A 24,424-nucleotide genomic window follows, 5' to 3' on the forward strand; every position below is an offset into this window, starting at 1 on the left:
AAGGCTGAAACTGCCTTTGCAAAAATTACAACTAAGGAAATTATGACAGTAAAAGAGATCAGACCTAACTGACTCGACTCTATCTTGCTTCTAACCTTTAAGCTGGCCTTGTTCATTCCTGGGCATAGGCCAAACTAACCTTGGGAAGGAATTTAGTTTATAGTTCAACTTTGAAACAAAATTAATAATAGCCCTTTCCCAAAGGGGAAAGCAAAACAAATCACCCCTTCTTGCCTGGGGACCAGTCTGAGTCTGTCTTTGTAGGACTAACAAACTAGCTACAAGATTAGAAATTATGGTTTGGGGCCATGCAGCCTCTGGCTGCAAGTATCTGAACCTCCCCAAATTGCTCCTGTGAATAACATCACTATTGCAAAATCTAACATCAGTGATTGACATATTTTGCAGACACTGCACTCCAGGTCTGGTAATCTGGCTCAACCAGATTGAGGCTGGTAACCTGGCTCAACCAGTTCTGCGATTTCACCCAAGAACAGAAGACAGCAAGAGAAACTCACTTTGACCCCCTATGATTCCATCTCCAACCCGACCAATCAGCACACCCCACTTCCCAAGCCTCTCCCCACCAAATTATCCTTAAAAACTCTGATCCCGGGGAAGGCTTGGAAAGACAGATTTGAGTAATAATAAAACTCCAGTGTCCCACACAGCTTCTCTGCATGAATTACTCTTTCTCCATTGCAATTCCCTTGTCTAGGCAGCGGGCAGGGTTTCTAGAAGGCTGACAAGGAAAAAAAACACAAACAAAAATTTGTCTTACAACCAATAGTGCGGAGGTCGGGATGGGGGCAGAAGGGTGAGAACTAACAAATTAGCTCGGATTTTGGTCTCTCCTGGCCTCTTTCCATCTGAGAATTGGGGGAACCTTCTGGTAACAGCTGGGGATTGTGCTTTTGTGGTGACTAGGGGCATAGTGTGGAGGAAAAGAGTCAAACTCTGTAAAATATTTGAAAAGATTTATTCTGAGACAAATATAAGTGACTATGGCCTGTGACACAGCCCTCAGGATATCCTGAGAACATGTGCCCAAGGCGGTTGGGGTGCAGCTTGATTTTACACATTTTAGAAGACATGAGACATCATTTAAATACATTTAAGATACACATTGATTCGGTCCAGAAAGGCAGGACAACTGGAAGGGGGGGTGCTTTCAATTTATAGGTAGATTTAAAAATTTTCTGATTGGCAACTGGTTATTATCAATAAAATGCGATGTCTGGGTTATAGTAAGAGGTTGTAGACACCAAAGTTTCATCATCCTGATGGTGCCTCCAGGTAGATGGCTTCAGAGAGAATACATTAGAATGTTTCTTATCATATTTAAGGTCTGTGTTTATGTTAATGTTGGAGGGTATAATGAGGTAGGTCCGATCCCCCCACTTTCTGCCATATCCTGAACCAGTCTTTCAGGTTAAATTTTAGAGTGCCCTGGCAGAGGAGGATGTCCATTCAGATGGTTGGGGGGGCCTTAGAATTTTATTTTGGGTTTACAGTAGTTTAGTCTTTTATGAGAATGAAAGCCTGGGGTACGGCTGGCTGGTTACTGTTGGTTGGAACTCCACAGTTGATTTCTAGCCAGTAGAGGCAGCTTAGGTTTGGGATGACTCTGCCTAAGCCATTTCCTGTGGAATTGTTCCCCCTCGTGGTAGGCACTGAAGGGTCTGAAGAGCCACCTTATTGAGTGGTTGGTCCACTTTTAACTTTTCCTGGTCCTTAGAGCTCCTAGATGTGTGTGTAAGCCTAAGGCCATAGGGATTCCCTTTATAGGGTAGTAAATGGGAGGTGAGGGTAATTACACCAATGTGTATGGTTCTCATAATGAAAACTGTGTCACAGTCCAAGTCTTTAATGGCTTGGCTCCAGAATGCGACGTTTGGGAGAAAACATCTTGGTGGACAGTTTGTATAAATTGGCAGTCATAACTTTTATGGAATTTTGATAGATATTGAGAATACTGCACATTGTTTGGAAAGGAAATTCAGTGGAAAATGGAGAATCGGATAAGTATGGAGCGGGTCCTTTCTAAACAACCTTTGTTAAACTGTAAAGGACTATGCAATGATCTCTCTTATTTACCTTTTTAGATCTATTTTCTTTTTTGTCCTTACAAAAACTGTATCTGACTAGAATTATTCTGTGTGATTGGTACAGGGATATTTCTACTATTATTAATCTTTATAACCTTCACACTGTTAGAGACATGCTTTTGCATGAATTAAAAATTTTATTTAAAAACATTACATCTCTTATACAAGTGTACATATGTAAAAGAGAGAACAAATTTTCGTTCCATTGCAATTTCTCTGAGGAAATTAAAAGCCTGCCTTCAAAACAAGAGGCTGAAACAGAAATCATTCTAAAAGTTAATGTCCTAATGACCAGCAGAAGAGGGCAACTTCAGTTAGGTAGAGAAAAACTTGTGAGTGGCTATGGAAACTGAGAAAAACTTTCAACTTAGTAGGGAAGAAAAACATATCATGGAAGAAGTGAGCATATTGTTGCTAAAATAGTTTTACCTGCCACTGAAATTTATGCTCTAAAGGGAAAAGAAGACTTTATCATCTTTTTTGAGGAAAGCTGCTATTTATATATTTAGTTCTTTTGAGGATAGCAATGGCCCATGACTGTTTCACTGGGGAGAGTTTGAAATAGTCTTTAAACTCAAATAAATGGACCAAATTAAATTTGTCAGTATAGATTTAGTAAAATAAGATTGCTAGCCAATAATTGCAGAAAGAAAAAGTATCATATTTGTTCACAAAGTCCAATATTTTGTTCATTTAAAACAGCTTTGAGTGGAGCTGTTACCTGTTTATGTAATTTTTCTTGTTGAAATGAACAAAATAAAATTCCCTAAAAACTGAAATAAAATCAGAGAATTGTACACCTCCTTACCAGAGACTATAAAGCATCTAGCAAATATGGTGAAACTGGGACCAGGTCAAAGGAGGATGTTGAGCATATCTTCTGTAATCTCAAACTGAGTCTAGAACTCCAAAGGACCTACCCAATATTTTACCTGGAAAGATAAGAAATAAATATTTGAATTAACGTGTCACTATTGAAATTCATGCATAAGTACACAATAAATGTGTATGACAATGTTCTTGGTGGCATTGTTCATAATAACCACATTTTGGAAACTGTCCCAATATATATCAACAAGGATTTGCTAAATAAATTATGCTTTATTCACACAATGGAATACTATACAAAGAAGTAACTCTGCATATAAGAACCTACAAACATGTTCACGTTCTATTAAGTGGAAAAATTTATAGAGGAGGATATATACTATGGTTCTATTTCTACAACTTCGTATATGTGCACATAGATGGATTTAATGTACAGGTGTATATATGCGTTTTCTGCCTCTCTGGTCCTCTCTGTGTCTCTACACACATGTGTACATGCATGCATAAAAATACACAGAAAGGAACTTCTATGGTTTGAATATTCCCTCCAAAACTTATGTTGAAACTTAATCTCCAATGTGGCAGTATTCAGAGGTATGGCCTTTAACAGGTGATTGGAACATGAGGGTTCTGCCCTTGTGAATGGATTAATCCACTGACAGATTATCATGGAAGTAGAACTGGTGGTTTTATAAGAAGAGAAAGAGAGACCTAAGCTACCATGTTAGCATACTTAGTCCCCTTGCCATGTGATGCCCTGTGCTACCTCAGGACTGCAGAGAGTTTCTACCATCAAGAAGGCCCTCACCAGATGTGGCCCCTCAATCTTGAACTTCCCAGCCTCCAGAACTGTAAGAAATACATTTTATTTTTTTAAATAAATTTTCAGGTATTTTGTTATAAGCAACAGAAAATAGGCTAAGACAGGTGCCATGAGTGAGAGTGAACCTCCAGAGTTTATGATCATTTGATACCTAGGAGCTGTGTTGGACTTGACATAGCCAAACCTTGATCAGACTGTTGATGGCCTACATGTGATGTAGGAAATATATGGGACATTGTGTGATTGTCTTTAATCAAACCATAAAGCTAGACCACACTGCTTTAGGCCTAGACAGAATTTCCTCCAAAGGGAATATGTTGCCACTGTCAGATTCAATGTATGAACAGGAAATGAAGACCTAGGAGGCAGGCCTTACCTTGACTATGAATGAAGAAAAAGTACTCCTTTCAGTATCTGGAGCTGGTGAAAAATTTGGCCTTGAACTCCACCTTGTGGACAGATGTGGAGATGCTATAAACACTTCCAGTGGTTGGAAGGTGAGCTGTCTGAAGCCAAGTGAAGGCAGAAAAGGAAGACAGACAGGAGAGTCAACTTGGTAGGAGACTCTGGGATGCGTCTGTGCCTGAATAGTTGTAATTATATTCAGTGTAGCATTTTCCTTCTTACATTCCAAAACTTTCAGTAAAATCTTGTAAACGCTTACCTTATGCCCACTCTTAGGATTAAATAGAAAAGAGGCCATCCTGTTGGTTTCACAGCAGTCACCCATGAAGAACAGCTGTTCCTAGGAGAGATGATTGCCCAGGGTTTAGCACCACCAGAAGCAGGAACATGCTACCGTCACAAGACTGGAGCAGAAGATCCTGAGAGGCTTGCTCATGAGCACATGTGGGGATAATAATATTAAGGATAAATAATCTGAAAGCTCTGTAAATGGTGAAACCCTTTTAATTAACAGTATTTACCTGAGGACAGGACTCAGTGAGGTAAATATGATCTTATGTGGAGTCTTGCAATAAGTTTGTCTCCCAGCCTCCAGCCACTCCAGCCCTAATATACATATACCCTTTATACTTCTGGACCTTTTAAAGCATGCATCTGATCCTACTGTCACTGCTCAAAATCATCAGTACTTTCCCTTCTGCCTGCAGAACAGATTCCAAATTCCTTAAACCTTCATTGAAAGGCCATTGTAGATTACAGTGTTAGATTAAACTCAACATATATTTCCAACCTCAGCAATCTCTATACATCTTTTCACTATCTTTAGGTATATGAGAGTCCTAGCTGTTCTACAAAACCTGATAGTGTAATCTGGCAAACATAGTAATTTTGGCTTTTATCCAGCTTGGCCCTGCTGTTTTTTTTTCAAGAGGTCTGAGTCTGCATTGGTTACCAAGAGTTTCTTAGTCAAGCCCTACCTATATGGCAGTCAGTAGGAATTTCTGCCAGAGTATGGTGAACCAATCATTGAGATTCTCCAGTCCATCATGGATTATTCAGTGAGAGAGTAAAAGTGGATGAAGCATCACCAGTTTGCCACCATCTTAACCCAGAAACAAAAACACAGTAAAAAGGAAAGTACACTAAAAGAACCAAACAGCAAACAAAACAACCAGTATTCCAAGTGAGATTTATTTTGTTATGTTCTATTTTTTTGTTAGTGGCCTTTTAAGCTGCAAAATATAACTGAATATGAATTAAACTGTAAACACATAATTGACACATTTATCTATTTTTCTCAGAGACAAAGGCACAGTGCTAGTTTTTCGGTGAAAACATTCTAAACCATGTTAAAACATGTCCAGTTTGTAACCGGCCTTTAGAATTTGTATAGGGCTGATTTTCTGCCTAGAAACTGATGCTATTATGTCTCTTCCAGCTTTATTAAAAAGGATTTTTTCCTGTATGTTTATATCAGATCTAAAGCCCTCACAAAACATGAAGATATAATTAAATGTAATCATTTTTGCTGATTCTCTGGACTTGGTCCTAAGGTAGATAAAATTAAGACCTCGTTCATAGGACAAGTTGGTCATTTATCCAGTGTCTACCTATGACCATTGTTGTCCATATGCTGACTTAAAATTGCCCCTTCACGATTCATGACACAGCACTGTCAACAACTTCACACGTGTTTTCACACTCTAGTTCTGCTTGGATCCTCACTAAATCTTGTGACGTACTCAGATCAGATTCTGGTTCCACCTGACAGACCAATGTAACTATTCGGAAGAGAAGTTTGGTATTCTCTAGCAAAATCGAAGATGTGCCCACCCTATGACCCAGCAATTCTAGGCATATGCACAACAGAAACTCATGTGCAAAAGGAGAAATGTGTAAGGATATTTTAGAACAAGAATTAAAAACAAACAAACAAACAAACAAAAAATCCCAAACTAACAATTACCTAGATATTCATTCTTTGGGAATATATACATTGTGGTATAGCCTCAAAATGGCATTTTATATATCCATATGAAAAGGTCACAAAAATAGAGTGAAAAAAGCAGGACACAAAAATACTGGCATAGTACACTATATGGGTAAAAATTTAAAACATGAAAACAATATATATTTTGGGGATACATATATAGTGAAAAAATAAACTAGTAGGAAGGACATATCAACTACAGTTCAGCGACAAAGGAAAAAAATGGGGTTGGAATAAAATAAGAACTAAAAATGTATCTCTCTTTTTTAATTTCCTTCATTAAAAAAAAAAGGGACAAAAGAAGAAGGGGCAGCAGCAGTAGCAGCGTGGCTTGGGAGTCAGACATACTGATTTAAGATGTGACTCCTATAGGACTTTACTGTTACTTTAAACCCTTTCCACTCTCTGGACCTGTTTCATACTCTGTACAAATGAGGAGGGAGACTAGACAATCTCAAGGCCCGCACAGCTCTTAAATTCTATTTTTCTGTCCTTACCACCAGTCCTTGTCTGTATATGCTTACATTCTTAATTTCCATATACCCAGTTAACAATCTTCTGTACATCTAAGTAACAAATTGGCATTTCCTTTCGTGGTACAGAACATTACCGGCATTAAAAAGAAAAAAAATAAAAAGAAACATATTAGTTAAAATCTTTTTTTTTTTTTTGGTAAGTGCCAGAAAATGAAAGCAATGTATTGACTAATAATACTGGGACAAACAGAGGGAAGAAGAGGCCTAAAGCCTCTCTAAATCCACAGATTCAGGACTGGCACAATGGCTCACGCCTATAATCCCAGCACTTTGGGAGGCCGAGGCAGGCAGATCACCTGAGGTCAGGAGTTTGAGACCAGCCTGGCCAACACGGTGAAACCCCGTCTCTACTAAAAATACAAAAATTATCCAGGCATGTTGGTGGCTGGCGCCTGTAGTCACAGATACTTGGGAGGCTGAGACAGAATTGCTTGAACCCAGGAGATGGAGGTTGCAGTGAGCCAAGATCACACCACTGAACTCCAGTCTGGGAGACAGAGTGAGACTCCATCTCAAAAAAAAAAAAAAAAAGAAAAAGAAAAATTCCGCAGATTCAAATGTTATAATCATGATAAAGTTTTTGTTTGTTTGTTTCATTTTGTGATTTGGTTTTCCCCCTGTGGGTACCTTTATTCTCATGCATATCTTCTCTATATACTTTCAAAGGTGGCCAGCTAAAGGTCCAGGTTTATGACATTGTTGATGTAAACTTTAAACTACCAATGGATAAAAAGTTCCTCAACTTCAAATCCCAAAAACTACAGCTTTAAACTCTCTTATAATTCCTATCATGGCATAGATGAGCACTGCAGACATTAAACTGGTTTCTGGATTTTATACTTATTTCCTATCTGCATTTTCCTGCAAGAGTAATATTCACTCACGGATTTATGGTAACATTTTTTTAAACTTAAATATCCCATTACACTTCACAAGCGTATCTTTGCTCATTATATGACTAGAGCATCACAAAAAGCCTGTGAGGTGCATGGCTTATTGGTGCCATACCCCACCCTCAATTCCCTGTGCCTTTCATTTTGTTTCAGGAATTAATGGGTCCAAAAGGAAGAGAAGTTGACTGACTTCCTCATGTCTCACAGGCAATAGATGGTAGAAGTGGAGCAAGAAGGTTCTCCAGTATCTGCTGCTTCCCCGAGTTTGTTCACAATGTACAGCTCAGTGATGGGTGAAAAAACATCTTTGTTGTCCTGAGGCTGGCCAGAGATAGACACTTGACTCCATCGTTACTTGGAGAGGTACTACATCCTCTCAGGGTAAATGGGCTCACCCTGGACAGCATCACGGACCACCCAGGATCATGATGGAATTCTCAGGGCCAGAAGCAACATATGGAGAAACCCCTTATCCTGAATGCATCCAGGTCAGGCTTGAGCTATAACTCCTGCCCAGATTCAGGGGAGCTGGAGCAGGAAGTTTAGGGTCTGGTGTTAGGAGCCCAAGGTTGGAGTTCCAGCCCCACTGCTGATTAGCTGTGGGACCTGGGAGACCTGCCACTTCCCTTCTCAGTTTCTTCTTGTGAGAAAAGGGAGGGAAACATCTGACTTCACAGAAGCACTGGAAGTTATCATCTGAAAGAATGGCCGTAAGATTGTTACTGTCACCTCAGTTCTTTTCTCCTCCAGTGCTTCTGTGTACTCTCGTGGCAAATCCCTTCTACTTGTCTTGAGAAGAAAATACCCAGGGCCAGCATTGCTTCTCTCAGCCAGTCACTTAGTCAAAAAATACTTTCTGATGCCCCAGAAAGAACCTTGTCTGTGCTGGGCAATGTCTAGAATATGAAGAGGAATTCAACCACACAGCTGTTGCCTCTGAAGAGATCACAGAGAAGCTGTCATTCTGGGGGAACAGGAGGTAGCAGTAAATACTATAACAAAGGGATAAAGGATATAAGAGTAAAGAGCGATCAACTGACCAAGCTGTGGAGTTAATTAAAGACTTCAGATATGAAATGTTTAAGTAAATCCTGTTTCCACCCAGGTAATACAGTGAGAGGAAGCACATTCCAGGCAGGAGAAACAAGTGCAAAAACCAAGAGACTTGAAACAACTTGGACTGTTGAAGGAAATGGCCTGAAACATAAGGACCAGGGAGTAGTAGTAAATAGTGCAGTAGTAAATAGTTAAGCTACAAAGGTAGAAAGGAGCCAGATCATGAAGGGCCTTGAATGCTGGGCTGAAAAGGTGGTCTTCATTCCAGGCAAATTATGTAATGCTGTCATGCAGTTTAGTGGCCCCATTTGTCATGCAAAATTACAAACTGCATTTCCATTCTGTGAAACTATCCACTTTAAAAGGCATCATCAATTTCAGACAATACTGATATGTTAATATTTATTCCAAAACCTGCCTTTCCTTGTGCAGGGTGATAGTTTTCAACAGTCATTCTTGAGACACCTGTTCTTTTACGTGCCCCGCAGCTAGTGGTACTCATGTGTGCAGGGTACTCACATTTTAGTGAATGAGGGGAAAAAGGAGAGTGAGAGACAAGGAATAAGAGGTGAGGATTAGAAAACTTTGGGATTTTCTACCCTATCCCCAGCCATCCCACTACTCTTCAGTTCTTTTCTCTCTTCCCATGCAGAATGGAATCTCTTAAGAAACAGTCACAATCTCACACAGGGTAACTGATAGCATTCCAAATGTCTGAGGTTTTGGAAAGAAGTGGGCCAAGCACCATTTGAATTACTGTGTGGGTGAATCTGATAGTGTGTGTGCAGTGATTTGTGTACTTCAGTGTTTAAGCAAGGGAGGCCCTAAGGCCAACGAATATCTACAGTTATCAACAAATATTCAGCAAATAATAAATCAACAGATATCCATGGGAATCAACAGTTTCAACAGACCTGAGTAGTGGGATGAGCAAAGGCTCTGCAAGGTCAGTACTATGCTAGGGTGGGGCTTGACTACTGGGGACCCCGCTGAGGCCATCTGCACTAGAAATATTTTGTGTTCCATAACTAAATGCTGGTAAGAAGAGGCAGATCACTGAATGATAGCATCTGGGTAGTGCTTGGCTATGTATGTATAATACAGAGGACTGATATAATAGAGCCGTAGGTTAACTAGGTCTCTCCTTGCATTGGCCTTGACTTCCTTCTTTTATTTTAGTTTTTAGAGATGGAGGTCTCACTATGTTGCCCAGATGGGACTTGAACTCCTGCACTCAGGGATCCTCTCACTTCAGCCATCCCAGCAGCTGGAACTACAGGCACATACCAGCACGGCCCTCTAATTTCCTTCTTTAATTAGTCAACTGAGCTTTGAGTTAGGCTTTCAGAGCCCACCTCCCCTCTCTCTCGTTCACGAAGACACTGTTTTTTGACACTTGTTCCATCCATTCCATTTGCTTTCTGCCGTGTTATAGGGTTGGAAGAGGATATTTAAAAAATAACTTCTTACCTTCTAGGTGTTTGCTGTTGGTCTGCTGGTCTCATTCATAACATTGGTGTGGGGTGAAGGAAACCATATTGTCCCTCAAAATCTTTCCAGCTTTAGAGATGTCTGAGGAAGAAGTGAGTTGCTGGTGCTCACACCGGTGGACACATTACTTTGATACAATGAAAAGAAAGTCATGTATGGGTTCTTGGTGGTGGGCAGGTTTATTCAAAGGAGCTGAAAAGCAAAAAAAAAAAGTACAGTGGAGGAGCTGACATTTGAGATTAAGTGAAAAAAAAAATTGTCACAAAGAGATTTATGGGAAGGAGGAAGGCCAAAAAGGACTTCCAAGACATCACACTTCGTTTACCTCCTACCTCACTGGTGGTGACTTCTCAGTCTCTTGTTTGTGTCTCCTCTTCTCTCTGATCTCTTTAAGACCCAGGTCTCTGTCCATGGTCATCTGTTGTTCTCTATGTACACCCATTCCCTAGGGTGATCTCATACAGTCCCATGGTTTTAAGTATTATTTACATGGAGAAATTTCCAACTTATGTATCCAGCTTAGTCAGACCTCTCCCATGAACTGCACACTCATATATCCAATAACTGTTCAACAGCCCCACTTAGGTGTCCTAAAAACACCTTCAAACTCAACTTGTCCAAAACTGATTTCCTAGCCTCTCCTCTTCCTAGCACCCATCCAAACCATAGCCTTCTTCATCTCTATCAGTGGCAACTCCATCTTCCCAGTTGTTTTTTGGAGCCATCCATGACTCCTCTCTTTCCTTACATTTCACTTCTAATTTGTGAGAAAGTTCTACTTACTCTTCCTTCAAAATATACCCCAAATTTAAATACCTCTCACCATCTCCATTGTTACCTCTCAGATATAATCTCACACATGGGATACTGCAATACTCTAACTAGTTTCCCTGCTTCCTCACTCTCTCCTTTATAGCCCGTCCTTAAAACAGCAGAGAGATTTTTTTAGAAACATAAGTGAGGTCAATTCTCTGCTGAAAATCCACAGTGGGTTTGTGGACATGGGATGCAACACCCAGGTTATGCTTCAGTGATGGACTTATTATGCTGCTTCAGCTCTCACCCCCATTAGAGATTGCCTCAGCTGCTGAAAGCAACTTTGTCCAATGCAACACCCCTTCCTGGGGCAGCCCATATCCAAAGACGGATTAGTGTAGGGGTTGAAAGGCCTGTAAATATTACCCCAACTCTGAAGGGCCATTCTAGTTCCACAGCTTCCTGTGGGTGTGGTTGACACTGTAACTGAGTCTTTTTAGAGCTTCATTTTCTTTGTGCTCCTGCTGCTTTCCCATTTCTTCCCCAGGTATTGACCCCAAGGGCGCTGCTTAATAAATTTTCTACAAGATTAACTTTGTTTCTGGGTCTGTTTCCTGGGAAAACCCAACTTGTGACAGGCTCCCCATTTCATGCAGAGTAAATACCAAGTCTTTACAATGCCTTATATTATTTAGACCCTTATTTCCTCTCTGACTTCTCTTATGTCTTTCTCCTTCACCTATGTAGCTCTAGCTAAATAAGCCTCCCTGTTAGTCTTTGAACATGCCAAAAACACACTTATCTCTTAGGCCCTTTCCTCTAGTAGTTCCTTTTGCCTAGTATGCTCTTTCTCTAGATATATGCTTGGCTAACTCACTTCCTTCATTTATTTGCTCAAATATTACCTTCTCCATGAAGTCCACCCCAATCTCCCTATTTACCATGGTGACCTACCACTTCCCTTCCCTCTTATCTTGTTCTAATTTTCTTTTTTATAACAGTTATCAATTTTGACATCCCACATAATTTACTTATTATTATTATTTTTTTAATTGTTAGCCTCCCCTTGCTTGAATGTAAGCTCCATGAGAACAGGCATCACTGAATGCTTTGTTCATGATATATCCCAAATGCCTAGTTAAAGTGCCTGGAACAAAGTAGGCACTGAATAAATTTGTTGAACAAATGAATGAATTAAGTAGATTTAACAGTAGGAACAAAGTGTGTGTAAAAGAGGGTGATAGAGAGGGAAGAATATGAATGAGTCATGGCGAAAATCACAGCTGTGAATCACCTGGACTTCCCCCTTGGTGCTACTGTTTCTTTCCCATTTCTTTATGCAAATATTAGGAAAAAATAATAATTAGACTATTACTTGGCATCAAGAGAGCTAGTTTCAGTCCAGCACTCTTACCAGCTGTGTGACCTTGGTTTCCTTTTTCTCTTTAAGCTTTATCTCCTTATCTGAAAAATGGAGGTAGTAACACACAGCTTCCAGTATCCTGTGCAGATTAAGATGTGCCCAACACATACTAGGTGTCCAACAAATGTTTACTGACATCCCGACATCCTCCAAGGGCAAATGATTTAAACTAATAATACAAATGTCTTGTAGTATGTGCTTGAAAATGTAACCAGAAAAATAGGTATACACATTCATTACATTACATGTGAGCTTCAACTTTATGTTATGCACCTGTTTCATAGATTTGGGGTAGAGGAAGAAATCTGCCCCATTTCCATTTAATCAGTGACCTCTTAGCCACTTTACTTGCTTTCTAGGATAACAATAGAAAAACATATTTAAGGCCGGGCATGGTGGGACATGCCTGTAATCCCAGCACTTTGGGAGGCTGAGGCAGGCGGATCACCTGAGGTCAGGAGTTCAAGACCAGCCTGACCAACATGGTGAAACCATGTCTTTACTAAAAATACAAAATTAACCAGGCATGGTGTTGCATGCCTTTAATCCCAGCTACTTGGGAGGCTGAGGCAGGAGAATTGCTTGAACCCAGGAGGTGGAGGTTGCGGTGAGCCGAGATTGGGCCATTGCATTCCAGCCTGGGCAACAAGAGCAAAACTCTGTCTCAAAAAACAAACAAACAAACAAACAAACAAAAACATATTTAAAAACTCCAAAAACATACCAGAAAACAGCAGAGGTATAGTGTTAGCTGTGCAGAACAGTAGAGAAGAATCACAGGCCCTAGGTTTCAATGTTAAACACATTACTGAATTAATAGCTATGGATAAATGACATCAGGTATTCCAGCCTTTCAACTTTTTTTTTTTTTCTCTCTAGAACACTCCTTCCTCAAATCATTGCATGGGCTGGCTTCTTTAGTTATTTGCTAATATCCACTCAGGCCTTCCTCTGAAAACCTTTTGCTGAAGTAGTTCCCTTATTTCCGTTCATCTCTATCCATTGCTCTGCTTTTTTGTTCTTCATACAACTTATCACTCTCTGAAATTATACACGTTATTTAGGTTATTTGTCTATATCTTTGTTGCTTTTCTCCCCTCTATGAAAATGTAAGCTCCCTGACAGAATGGACAGTATCTATCTCATTAATCACTATTGGGCAAATCCATCAAAAAGTAGCTGAATGAATGAATGAATGATTGCATTCAGGATAATAACCCTGCTCTCTTAACTGTCCAGTAATGTTATAAAGATTAACGAGCTCTCTGGGAAAACAAACTCAGTTCTTAGCAGAGATTAAAAGAGCTATGTACATCTAAAGAATTATTTAAATAATTTCTTTCACATTTCAGTAATAGAATTTCTAGACCTATATTCACTAGTTACATGTCACTGGAGCACTGCTAAATATAAAGGTTAACCAAAAGGACATGCGGTTTACCCTCTTGAGAACTAAAGGGAATTCACCTTTATTAAGCATCTGTGCTGCACTATGTTACATGCTAAGGATATAGTTTCTCATATACTTCTAAACAGAACTGAGTAAAGAGTGTTACTCTCTCTATCAAGAAGGGGAATAGATTCACAAAGATTAAGTAACTTGCTAGTATAGAGCTAGTAAAACCTGGAATTAATGTCCAATCAGCTGACTTTATTGTTTTTTTCACTTATTCCACCCTTTCTTGGGAAGCATGTGGCCCTCAGATCTGTGCTTCTTAGGCCAAGATCAAGCATAACATCTCCATTGTTGAAATGGGCCTACTTGAAAACAGTGAAAGAAGAAAATAAAACTTTGCTTGTTTACTCACTGGTTTTGTGAAATCCCAGTGGAAAGAGACGTGGGTAATTTGGAACTTTGTATGATTTGAAAAGCCAAGTTTTTTTTGCCCCAAATTAAGCTTAGTGAGAACAAGGGCAAGCAGATGGAAGACTTATTAGGAAATAAGATTGGAGCAAGAAAAACCTAATTTCCTAGATCAGTGTTTCCTAATCATTACTGATGATAAAGAATCACCTGAGGTATCTTGTACAGCTGCCCCAGGTCCCTTCCCAAGAGATTTTGATTCATTACATCTAAGATGGGACTCAGCAATTTATATTTAACAATCACTCCAGGTAAATCTTATCAGGTAAGTATAGGAAATAATAACTCTGACCTCACTCAATTGCCACCTATAAATCAGTGATTTTCAATGTGGGGTCCCAGCAGCATCAGTCTCATGTGGGAACTTGTTATAAATATAAGCCTGTGGACCCCACCCTAGACTTGCTCAATCAGAATCTCTGTAAGAGGGCCCCAGAAATCTGTATTTTAACAAGTTCTCAAGGTGATTCTGGTGTGTACTAAAGTGAGAGCTACTGTACTAAATAATCTCTAATTATAGCCAATAATTTAAAAACCTCCAATTGTTCAACCCCCAGGTGCAAGAAGTGGCGTAGAATGCCCAGTTCAACCCCCAAAAAGGGCATCCACCCAAGATATGCCTCCAAGAGAGAACGTCTCAGAAAACACAAAGAGGTATTTGACCAAAGGAGTCACTCAACTGCCAGGATAGGTAGTCCTTGTCTAACAGGTTATGATATATGCTTTGGACCAGAAGCTACTATGTATTGTTTCCTATTTCCTCCCTTTTTCAAATGGTAGTTTTGATTATATTTCTCTGGTTATCTCCCCACTAGTGTATATTGGGTATGTTGAGAAGAGTAGTTTATAATTTAAGTATAGGTGACCAGACTGCAAGGAAGATGGATCTAAAGATGGCTGCATATCAACTAGGGATCTTGAACTTAACGCTAAATGCAGTAACTAGATAAGACTTCAGGTTTTTCTCCTTTGGGGACATGAATTTATCACACCTACATGTGGGCATTCTTTGAAAGAGGATGTGTAGGAAGAAATGTGTCCATGGATACTAGGTATTCAAATGAAGAAGCTATACTAGATATTTGTGATTGGTGAATAGCATTCATTATTCATTTACCCAAAGCCCTTGATTCTACTGGAAATCCATCTGGTTTCAGAGAGATATACCCTAGTGCAGGGGTCCCCAACCCCTGGGCCACTGACAAATACTGGTCCATGGCCTGCTAGGAACCAGGCTGCACAGCAGGAGGTGAGTGGCAGGTGGGTAAGCAAGCGAAGCTTCATCTGTGTTTATAGCTGCTCCCCATCACTTGCATTACCACCTGAGTTCTGCCTCCTGTCAGATCAGCAGTGGCATTAGATGCTCATAGGAGCATGAACCCTATTGTGAACTGTGCATGCAAGGAATCTAGGTTGCATGTTCCTTATGAGAATCTAATGCCTGATGATCTGTTGCTGTCTCCCACCACCCTCATTTGGGACAGTCTAGTTGCAGGAAAACAAGCTCAGGGCTCCTACTGATTCTACATTATGGTGAGTTATATAATTATTTCATTATATATTAGAACATAATAATAGAAATAAATTGCACAATAAATGTAAGGCATTTGAATCATCCCCAAACCACCCCCCTCCCCTCACCCACCCTGTCCGTGGAAAAATTGTTTTCCATGAAACCAGTTCCTGGTGCCAAAACAATTGGGGACCACTGCCCTAGAGGTTAGGGATGGAACACCTGACCTTGCTAAGCCAATCAGTGTATTTCATCCCTGAGATTTTAGTGATTGGTCAAAGTATCTGACCTAAGCCAGCTGAGAATACATCATAGGACACAGGTTATCTATCTTTCTCTAGATTGGACTGCTGTAGCCTGGAACTGCTGGTCCAATTTTGCTACCATAAGAAAAAACAGCCTGAGAATGAAACTGACACACAGAGGGAAAATCCTAAAGAATCATAAACACTGAGCCTGAGCCCCAATTCAAACTATGCCTGAAGCCCATCTGAGCTCTAGATTTTTTTTAAATTTATATTGATCAACGTTTGGTAACAGTTTAAGCCTGTTTGAAATGGGTTTCCTGTTACATGCAGGCAAGTTCTGTTAGAAAAGGCAAATCAAAGCTATAAATATGAATTTGCATATTGCAGTAGATGTGAGTGCAAGTTTAAACAGAAAAAAATAATTGTTCATTTCATTTCTGGTTTATTAATTATATAGTACCTTAACTTTCCCCACAGCTTCAATATATAATTGGTTTTCCTTTTAACTTCCCTCAGTAAAAATATACTGGCCTCTCTTGAGAAGTTCCTCTCAGAGAATACGTTATGTTCACATATATTTCACATTCTACTTTTGAGAAAAATTGGACTGGCAGAAATTGTGGGTTTGTAGGGTCATGTAAGTTTTCATTAAACTGGGTTAGGGTCTGAAGGTTTGAATTAATTACACCTCCTTCCCTTCCAGATTCTGAACCAATTAAAAAATATACACAGGAATCAAATAGGGATTAAGATATCAGCTTTAATATATTGTTCAGTGAAAAAAGCAAAATTCAGAACAGCATGTATAGTATGCCACCATTTGTGTAAAAAAAAAAAAAAAACCTGATACACACATACCCACACACAATATGCTTGTAAATACATGGAATATCTCTGGAATGATACATCAGTAACTGGTAACAGTTGTTACTTTTTGAAAATGGGACCAGGGAACTGAGGCCAGGGGTGAGAAGGAGGAAGAGAGACTTACTTTTTAATAGTATACCCTTTTATACTGTTTGACTTTTACCATAGGCATGTGTTATTTTTCTAAAAAACAATTTATATATTAAAACTGTAAAAAAGAATCAAAATAGATACCAGCTTTATAGCTGATAGAGCTGGATTGGAGAACATGGCTTGGACCTGAGGCTGAAATGAACTTCTATCATAAGTCTAACGACTTTGGGATTCCCCCACCCCAAGGAGAGATAGTTGGGTCTAGAAAGCAGATGTTTACCCAGCCATGTAGTGAAGGACTGCAGTCTTTCCCACATCTTGCTGTGTGGAACGAACTCAAGATCCAAGAGTGGCCTAAGCTGCCTATCCATTATAACCATTTTCTCAATCTCATCAAGTTATTCCTCCTCCCAAGCATAAGATTGAATGAGTGTAAGAGAAGATGGGTAGAACTTTCTTCCAAACATTTTTGAGAGATGCAAGTCTTTTCCTTTTCTTGAGTCAGGAGCATGGAGAGAGGAAGAGGATAGATCCCATCATACCCTTGTACATTTTCATTCTCTTAAGCCACAATGGTTAATGCTCAAGACTCTGGTCAACAAACAGGGCTGTGGCTGTCCCCTTCCAGGGAGACCAACAGTATCTTAGAAAAGTTCTGCTCCCATCAATGTAAGATTGGTGAGCAGTTGTTTTTGCCCCCAAGAGGCTCTGAAATAAGTCAAAATAGAACAGTAATTAAATTAACTCTAAGGCTACATTACACCCTAGACTGAAAATTTGATCACAATTGCAGCCCTAATTTACAATTATGTCCAGCCATATTTCCTGACATAGCTGACAACAATTATACAATGACTCCCAAAGATAGCATTAAAATACTCCAAATAATACAATATCAACAACATAATAAAAATGCCTTAGTTTGAACTATATGACCTCACCCCCACCCCATCAACTATTAAACTCCAAGGGAAAAAGGACTGCCCAAAATTAAATTTCTAATTCAAAGTCCAAAATAATTAAAGTCCAAAATTCTGCCTTTCCCAATTTCTCGTTTTTCTCATTTCAGCCATATAGATCTCACAAAGATGTCTGCCCAGATATGGGGTTCCTTCAGCAGCTGCAGCCTTGGCTGTCTTCCTCTTGACTGGGTGAAGTTCCTTCAGGACCTCAGGAGTTGAATTAATCTAACCCCACAATTGCATGTCATACATATTAAAGAGTCCAAAGGGTCAAGAAGACATAAGATTATCACAATATCAACCTCACATCAAAAAAATTAGAAAGCACACTAGTCCCCAGCCACTAGAACAGTTTTTTTAAGCAAATATATGACCCCAGGACTTAGAACATAGGGCAATACAGACCCACATTGCTGTTGTCAGTCAAACATCATAGTAGAGACTTAGTGGCATCAAAAAGCAAAAGTAGACAGATAAAACATAGGAGAAAAGAGAACATCTTCTTTGTTTCATCCTCAGCAGGATGCCAATCTGTGCCGGTAGTCTGGACTCCATGACCTGTGAACTTAAACTAATTTGGAAGATATCTTGCAGTACAGTCCCAATATGATTGTACTGCCTTGAGTCCCAGCCCCAAATGTGCAGAACTCCATGGCCTTATTAGGCTGTTACTGCTAATGGAGCTTCTGTGAGAACCTCAATGAGAAAGCTTTGGTTTTGGCCAGGTGCTTCTCTCAAAAACCATGCTTGTACTTCAACTTTTCTTTCCTAGGCTTTGGTTAACCTCCGCCAATGGCTCTTTAATAATGGAAAGCTCAAAGGCCCTTCCATTGTTTACTTTTCTGCCACAGTAGAACTCACCCTTATCTGCATATAAGTTTCTTAGGGCCAGCCAAGAAACAGGATAGTTAAAAATCCAAACACTAACAAAAATCTATTAGATTTCTATCTACCAATGCCAGCACTTAAAACATCATTAAGCCTACAGATTACCTACCACTGACTGTGTTCCAAGTCCTGCTGGGATACCATAATAGATGAGCCCACCAGTCCCTGCAAGGAAGTATAGCCTGCTTTCAGCCATTCTTGGTTCTCACAAGTGCCTTGCCCACCTCACATGCTGGGACTCTGAATTCAGTCTCCTAAGAATCAAATCTAAAACTTGAGTCTCTCTTAGCACAGCAAAGAAATCTGTATCTCAGTTTGATTCTAGGTTTCTCCTCTTTCATTTTGAGGTTCTGGACAGATCTGTCCAAACCCAGCCAAACCCAGCCTTTGCCTGTGACTGAGGGCTCTAGCTAGAGCCTGGCTTAATGCTCCTCTGGGCTGGCAAAGACCATTTGTGCTAAAGTCTGCCTGCACAGCTTCTATCAGTTAAAACCTACTCCATGTCTGCAGATACCAGCCAGAGCTATTGGAGACAAGAGAGACCCTAATGCCACTGATGACTAAAACCTTTCACTTAAGCTCCACCAGAAATCTTGATCTCTCCACTTGGAGTTTGGTCCCCAAATGCTTGTCTTCTTATCAGTTTTGCAAGGTTTCTCAGCCTATGGTTAGGTACTAAAATGCAAAGTAATTACCTTCTTAATTCTAAAACAGTTGAGCAATAGGTGAAAGAACCGGAAAGAGAGCAAAATTATTAGCCTTACTTTTAGTACAGTTAGAACTGAGAATGCAACTTGAACAAGAGACCAAAATGGGCTTCCCACTCTTTCCCAAGTTAGATTTTTGAAGCCACTTGGGGGAGATTTGAGATTGCAAAGACACTTACCCAGCCAGTCACATGGGATATCTCAGCAAGCTTCACACCTCAATGAGTGTAGAGTCCAAGTGCCAAAAAGAGTGAGGTGAGAGGTGTTCAGCTACCTTTAATCTATTAACACCACCCAAGATAAAAAAAAGTATGAGCCAATGGATGTCAGACTTTACCCTTCTCACTAATCAGTTAAATTGCGGAGAGGAACCAGTGAAAAGGTTGGACAGATGGGCAAAAGGTTTCTTCCAAAAACGTATGAGAGGGCAGAAGTTCCAATTTTTTTGCCAAGCAAAACGTGCAAAAAGGGAGAAGATGGTTCTTACAAACTGGAAAGCAATCAAGACTTTCTGTGTCTACAGATTTAGAGTCTCATATATTTGGCAAATTTCAAGATGACCTCTAAGATGTTTTTACCAAATCGTAGACATAGATATGGAAATCATCATCAAATTTGATGAAGTACACAGAGGGTTTTGCTTCTACCTGATGAATGACCATGCCAGTTCTCTTGGAGCCATCGTCTTTGGCGTATTCCACCTGTTTGCCTACCAGGCTGTCTATGACTTCTCCTGGCTCCCTCTCTGCCAGAGGAGAATCATTGGAATCTTGAAGGATGCGGAGGTCACCATCTTTATAATCATCTAAGAGCTGGTACATATATAATACAGGATCTTTCTCATAGGTAATGTAAAACCATGTGTTCATGACAGGTGCCTGAGCTAAGACCATCCCCCTCCATTCATTTTTGGAACCTTCCTCTGTCTCAAAAATATGTTCCACTGCTTTGCCAACCATTATTTCTGCCAAGTGTGTATCACTGATTCTAGATGATGCAACTCTATTAGGAAGGACTTCAAGTGATGACACTCTTTCATCTCTGTGAAGTTCCAATCCATAAACACAGTCAAATCCATCATATTTGATAAGATACAGAGAGGGATTTACAGGTACCTGATCCAGAACGGTTCCTTTCCACTGTGTTAGAGGTTCATCTCCATCTTTCCATCCGTGCTGAATTCTGCAGCCCACGATGTTCCCCCGAGGCTGGGAGGTGGGTCGGCTCCTATGCTTCTTGTGTGCAGCCTTCCTCTTTATCATGGTAACAGACACACTGCCGTGGCCAGCGCCCGTCCTGGACCGCTGCCCTGCAGCTGCCTTTCCAAACGGGGTCTTCATGCCTGCGAAGAGGAGCACAGTTGCCAGGTGGACCGAGAAAGGAAATTAACAAAATCAATGCATAACACGGAGAGCTTTTTCTCCTAATCAGCGCACCCAGTAAACCCACACCTGTTTTTCCCGAAAGCTAGATAGCAAAGCTGGAAATCAAGGCACCCTGGCTGAGTGCCTGCAGTAACCTTCCTCCCCAGCTCAGTCTGGCTAAGATCTGCGGTTCGGTGAAATACGAAGCGTTTCCCCATTCCCCTCGCCCTGCTTCCAACACTACCCGGCCAGGAGGCGCAGATTCCCCACCGTCCCGGATTGCGGGCCTCAAGTGCACAAATCGGACACCTCGCCGTTGCCTCCGCAGTGAGCCTATGGAGGAGGAAAATCAGCGGGCGAGCAGCCCGGTGCTTGCAAAAGCTGGGAGAGGATGATCCATAGGCAATGAGTGTCTCTAAGAGGGCGGCGGGGCAGGCGAAGATGACCGTGGCGGCGTCCCTTGCTCTTGGCTCCTGCGTCCTCCGCCTTCCTGGTGGCGGCGGCGGTGGCGGTGGCCGCAGCCCCTCTCCCACATCGGACTCCCACTAGTCGCTGCTGCGCCGCAGTCTCCTCCTTCTTTTTCTAGCGCAGCTTCCGGTCAGTAGAGAGGCCTCCCCTTCCTGCCAAACACCGCGTGGCGCCCCTCCCCCACCAACCTGTACCACAGCCCTGGGCGTGGAAGGTGCTCCTAGGCTCTCGGTCTCGCAGCTTCCTCCAAATCAGAAGCTGTGGAGCCCACAACCACCTCTCTCTCACTGCATTGGTTTACCTCTTCTGGTTTAGCACGCGCCCCTCCCCTCACCTAACCTCAACCCTCTGCGCCCCTGCCCCTTCTGCTTTCCACCTTTCAGGAATTAGCCCTTTCCTTTCCCCTCCCTCCCCGCGTCCCCCCACCCTCCATTGAAGGGGATTTGTGGTAGGACAAGAGAAATGCGCTACTGCTCAGTGTTCAGGCTGCCATCTTGACCCAATCTACGTAATTTTTACTGACTTGTCATTCCCAGACTTAACTTCTTGAGGATTTCTTTTCTTTTCCCCTGATTGCAAAAGAATTGCATGCACAATATTGACACTGTAAAATTCAGAAAATTGACATGAAGAGAAAATAATTAACTAAGCCGGCCTCCCATTTTCCAGGGCTCACAGTGAAATATTAACACTATTTCCTTTTCCTTTTTTCTAAGCTCTTACAAAGCTTGGATAATTTTGAATATGCACTTTCATGTCCTGCTCATTTCCATGTAGAATAAACATTTGCTCAATTTTTTAGATATTTTCTGAGAACATGTTTTGTAGTAGCTTCATAAAATTAAGCATTAGGATTTTTCATAATTTTGCCGTTGCCTCCTATCTTCAGACGTTTAATTGTTAAATACCTATAAATTGTGCTTGCGCATGAATTATTCTGTTCACTTGAACAGAATAACCTAGACACTAAACTTAGAACAATTGCTATAATTAAAACAGGAATTTGTGAGATCATAAATCTGTGGAGAAAGACATTTTAGAAGTGATTCAATCAGTTTTATCGTTACAGCCATCCTAGTGGGTATGAAGTGGTACCTAATTGTGGTTTTAATTTGCATTTCTCTAATGACTAATGAGGATGAGCATCTTTTTGTGTGCTTGTTGGACATTTGTGTATCTTTGGAGAAATGTCTATTTCAAGTGCTTTGTTCATTTTTTAAATGAATTGTTTGTAGCAGGGCTGTTAATTGTTCTTTTTAAATTCTGGATGAGAGAACCTTATCAGATATATGATATGAAAATATTTTATCCCGTTTTGTGGGGTGTCTTCACTTTCTTGATAGTATTTTTGATGCACAAAAGCTTAAAACTTGGTTGTGCGTTTGGAGTCACACCTAAATAAACACTGCCAAATCCAAGTTCATGAAAATGTACCCCTATATTTTCTTGTAAAATTTTGTTTGTTTTTAGCTCTTATATTTATGTCTTTGACCCATTTTGAGTTAATTATTATGTATGGTGTGATGAAGGGGACCAAATTCATTGTTTTGCACATGGATATCCAGTTGTCTCAGCACCTTCTGTTGAAGAGACAATTCTTAGCCTTTTTAATTGTCTTGGCATACTTGTTGAAAATCAATTTAGTACAGATGTATAGGCTTATATCTGGACTCTTAATTCTATTTCATAGAATTTTATGCAAAAACCACGTTTTTAATTTATCTTTATGCAAGAACCACATTTATTTTTTGATTACTGTAACTGTGCAGTATGTTTGAAATCAGTAAGTGTGATTTCTCTGAAAATATTATTAAGATTGTATTGGCTACTCATGCTCCTTTTTTTTTTTTTTTTTTTTTTTTTTTTTTGAGACAGAGTCTTGCTCTGTCGCCCAGGCTAGAGTGCAGTGGCACAATCTCGGCTCACTGCAACCTCCACCTCCCGGGTTCAAGCGATTCTCCTGTCTCACCATCCTGAGTATCTGGGGTTACAGGCATGTACCACCATGCTCAGCTAATTTCATAGTTCCTTTCAATTTCATATGAATTTTAGGATTGTCTTTTCCTTTTCTGAACAAAAGGACTGTTGGGATTTTGATAAGGGTTGCACTGACTCTGCAGATAAACTTGGGAAGTATTGTTATCTCAACAATATTGTCTTACAATCCATGAACACAGAGTTTCCAGAGGGCATAATTTCCCACAAACAGAGTTTCCTATGAACACTGGGTATCTTGCAATTTATTTAGATCTTCTTTAAATTATTTCAGCAATGTTTTATAGTTTTGGTTAGATTTATTTCTAAGTTATTTTATTATTTTTGACGCTATGGTAAATGGAATTGTTTACTGTGATATTGTGAAATATATATTTGCTCTTTGATCTCCTTTTCTGGCATACAGCCCCTAAAACCCTTGAAGTATCCTGAGAGATAAGAGTGTCTTTTGTATGCTAATAAGATGACTGATGATTGGCAGCCCCTAGATAGCTTCAGGATGTGGGCTGTTCACGGCAAAGACCAGGGCATGATTAGAAGATTGGAGCAGAGAGGAGTTAAAGGTTGAATCGATCACCAATGGCTCATGATGTCTACATAATGAAGCCTTCATAAGAACCCAAAATAACAAGGTTAAGAGAGCTTTGGAAGCATATCTAGAACTATATGATCTTTGACAAACCTGACAAAAACAAGCAATGGGGAAAGGATTCCCTATTTAATAAAAGGTGCTGGGAAAACTGGCTAGCCATATGTAGAAAGCTGAAACTGGATCCCTTCTTTACACCTTATACAAAAATTAATTCAAGATGGATTAAAGACTTAAATGTTAGACCTAAAAACCATAAAAACCCTAGAAGAAAACCTAGCCATTACCATTCAGGACACAGGCATGGGCAAGGACTTCATGTCTAAAACACCAAAAGCAATGGCAACAGAAGCCAAAATTGACAAATGGGATCTAATTAAACTAAAGAGCTTCTGCACAGCAAAAGAAACTACCATCAGAGTGAACAGGCAACCTACAGAATGGGAGAAAATTTTCGCAACCTACTCATCTGACAAAGGGCTAATATCCAGAATCTACAATGAACTCAAACAAATTTACAAGAAAAAAACAAACAACCCCATCAAAAAGTGGGCAAA

At 40.3% G+C, this 24,424-nt stretch overlaps 1 protein-coding gene across 5 annotated transcripts, besides 1 other annotated feature; it reads right to left on the minus strand.

The window, feature by feature from the left end:
• Positions 1-963: 963 nt before the first annotated feature.
• SPIN3 (spindlin family member 3) lies at positions 964-21,385 on the minus strand. 5 transcript variants are annotated; one of them, NR_027139.2, is made up of 5 exons: positions 21,060-21,385; positions 20,567-20,793; positions 10,110-10,322; positions 4,424-4,504; positions 964-3,040 (listed from the first exon to the last, which is right to left on the minus strand). NR_027139.2 is itself a non-coding variant. In XM_006724578.4 (2 exons), the coding sequence occupies exon 2, from the start codon at positions 20,789-20,791 to the stop codon at positions 20,015-20,017; it is 777 nt and encodes a 258-aa protein (XP_006724641.1). In that variant the 5' UTR covers positions 20,792-20,793; positions 21,125-21,385; the 3' UTR covers positions 16,675-20,014. The 5 variants fall into 5 exon arrangements, 4 of the variants coding, with proteins under 4 accessions (XP_006724641.1, XP_006724640.1, NP_001010862.2 ...); XM_006724578.4 differs by lacking the exons at positions 964-3,040; positions 4,424-4,504; positions 10,110-10,322 and having other exon boundaries at positions 16,675-20,793; positions 21,125-21,385; XM_006724577.4 differs by lacking the exons at positions 964-3,040; positions 4,424-4,504; positions 10,110-10,322 and having other exon boundaries at positions 16,675-20,793; positions 21,086-21,385.
• Positions 21,317-21,416: an enhancer, noted in NCBI's record as "active region_29701". NCBI's record gives its function as "activates an Ori minimal core promoter by ATAC-STARR-seq in GM12878 lymphoblastoid cells {active_cell/tissue: GM12878}" and the evidence as "EXISTENCE:reporter gene assay evidence [ECO:0000049][PMID:35858748]".

This window comes from Homo sapiens, chromosome X, assembly GCF_000001405.40.
Source record: "Homo sapiens chromosome X, GRCh38.p14 Primary Assembly".
Lineage (NCBI taxonomy): Eukaryota > Metazoa > Chordata > Mammalia > Primates > Hominidae > Homo > Homo sapiens.

Bases quoted from the DNA above. Each gene is read 5' to 3' on its own strand.
- SPIN3 (XM_006724578.4), bottom strand. From the start codon at position 20,791: ATGAAGACCCCGTTTGGAAAGGCAGCTGCAGGGCAGCGGTCCAGGACG.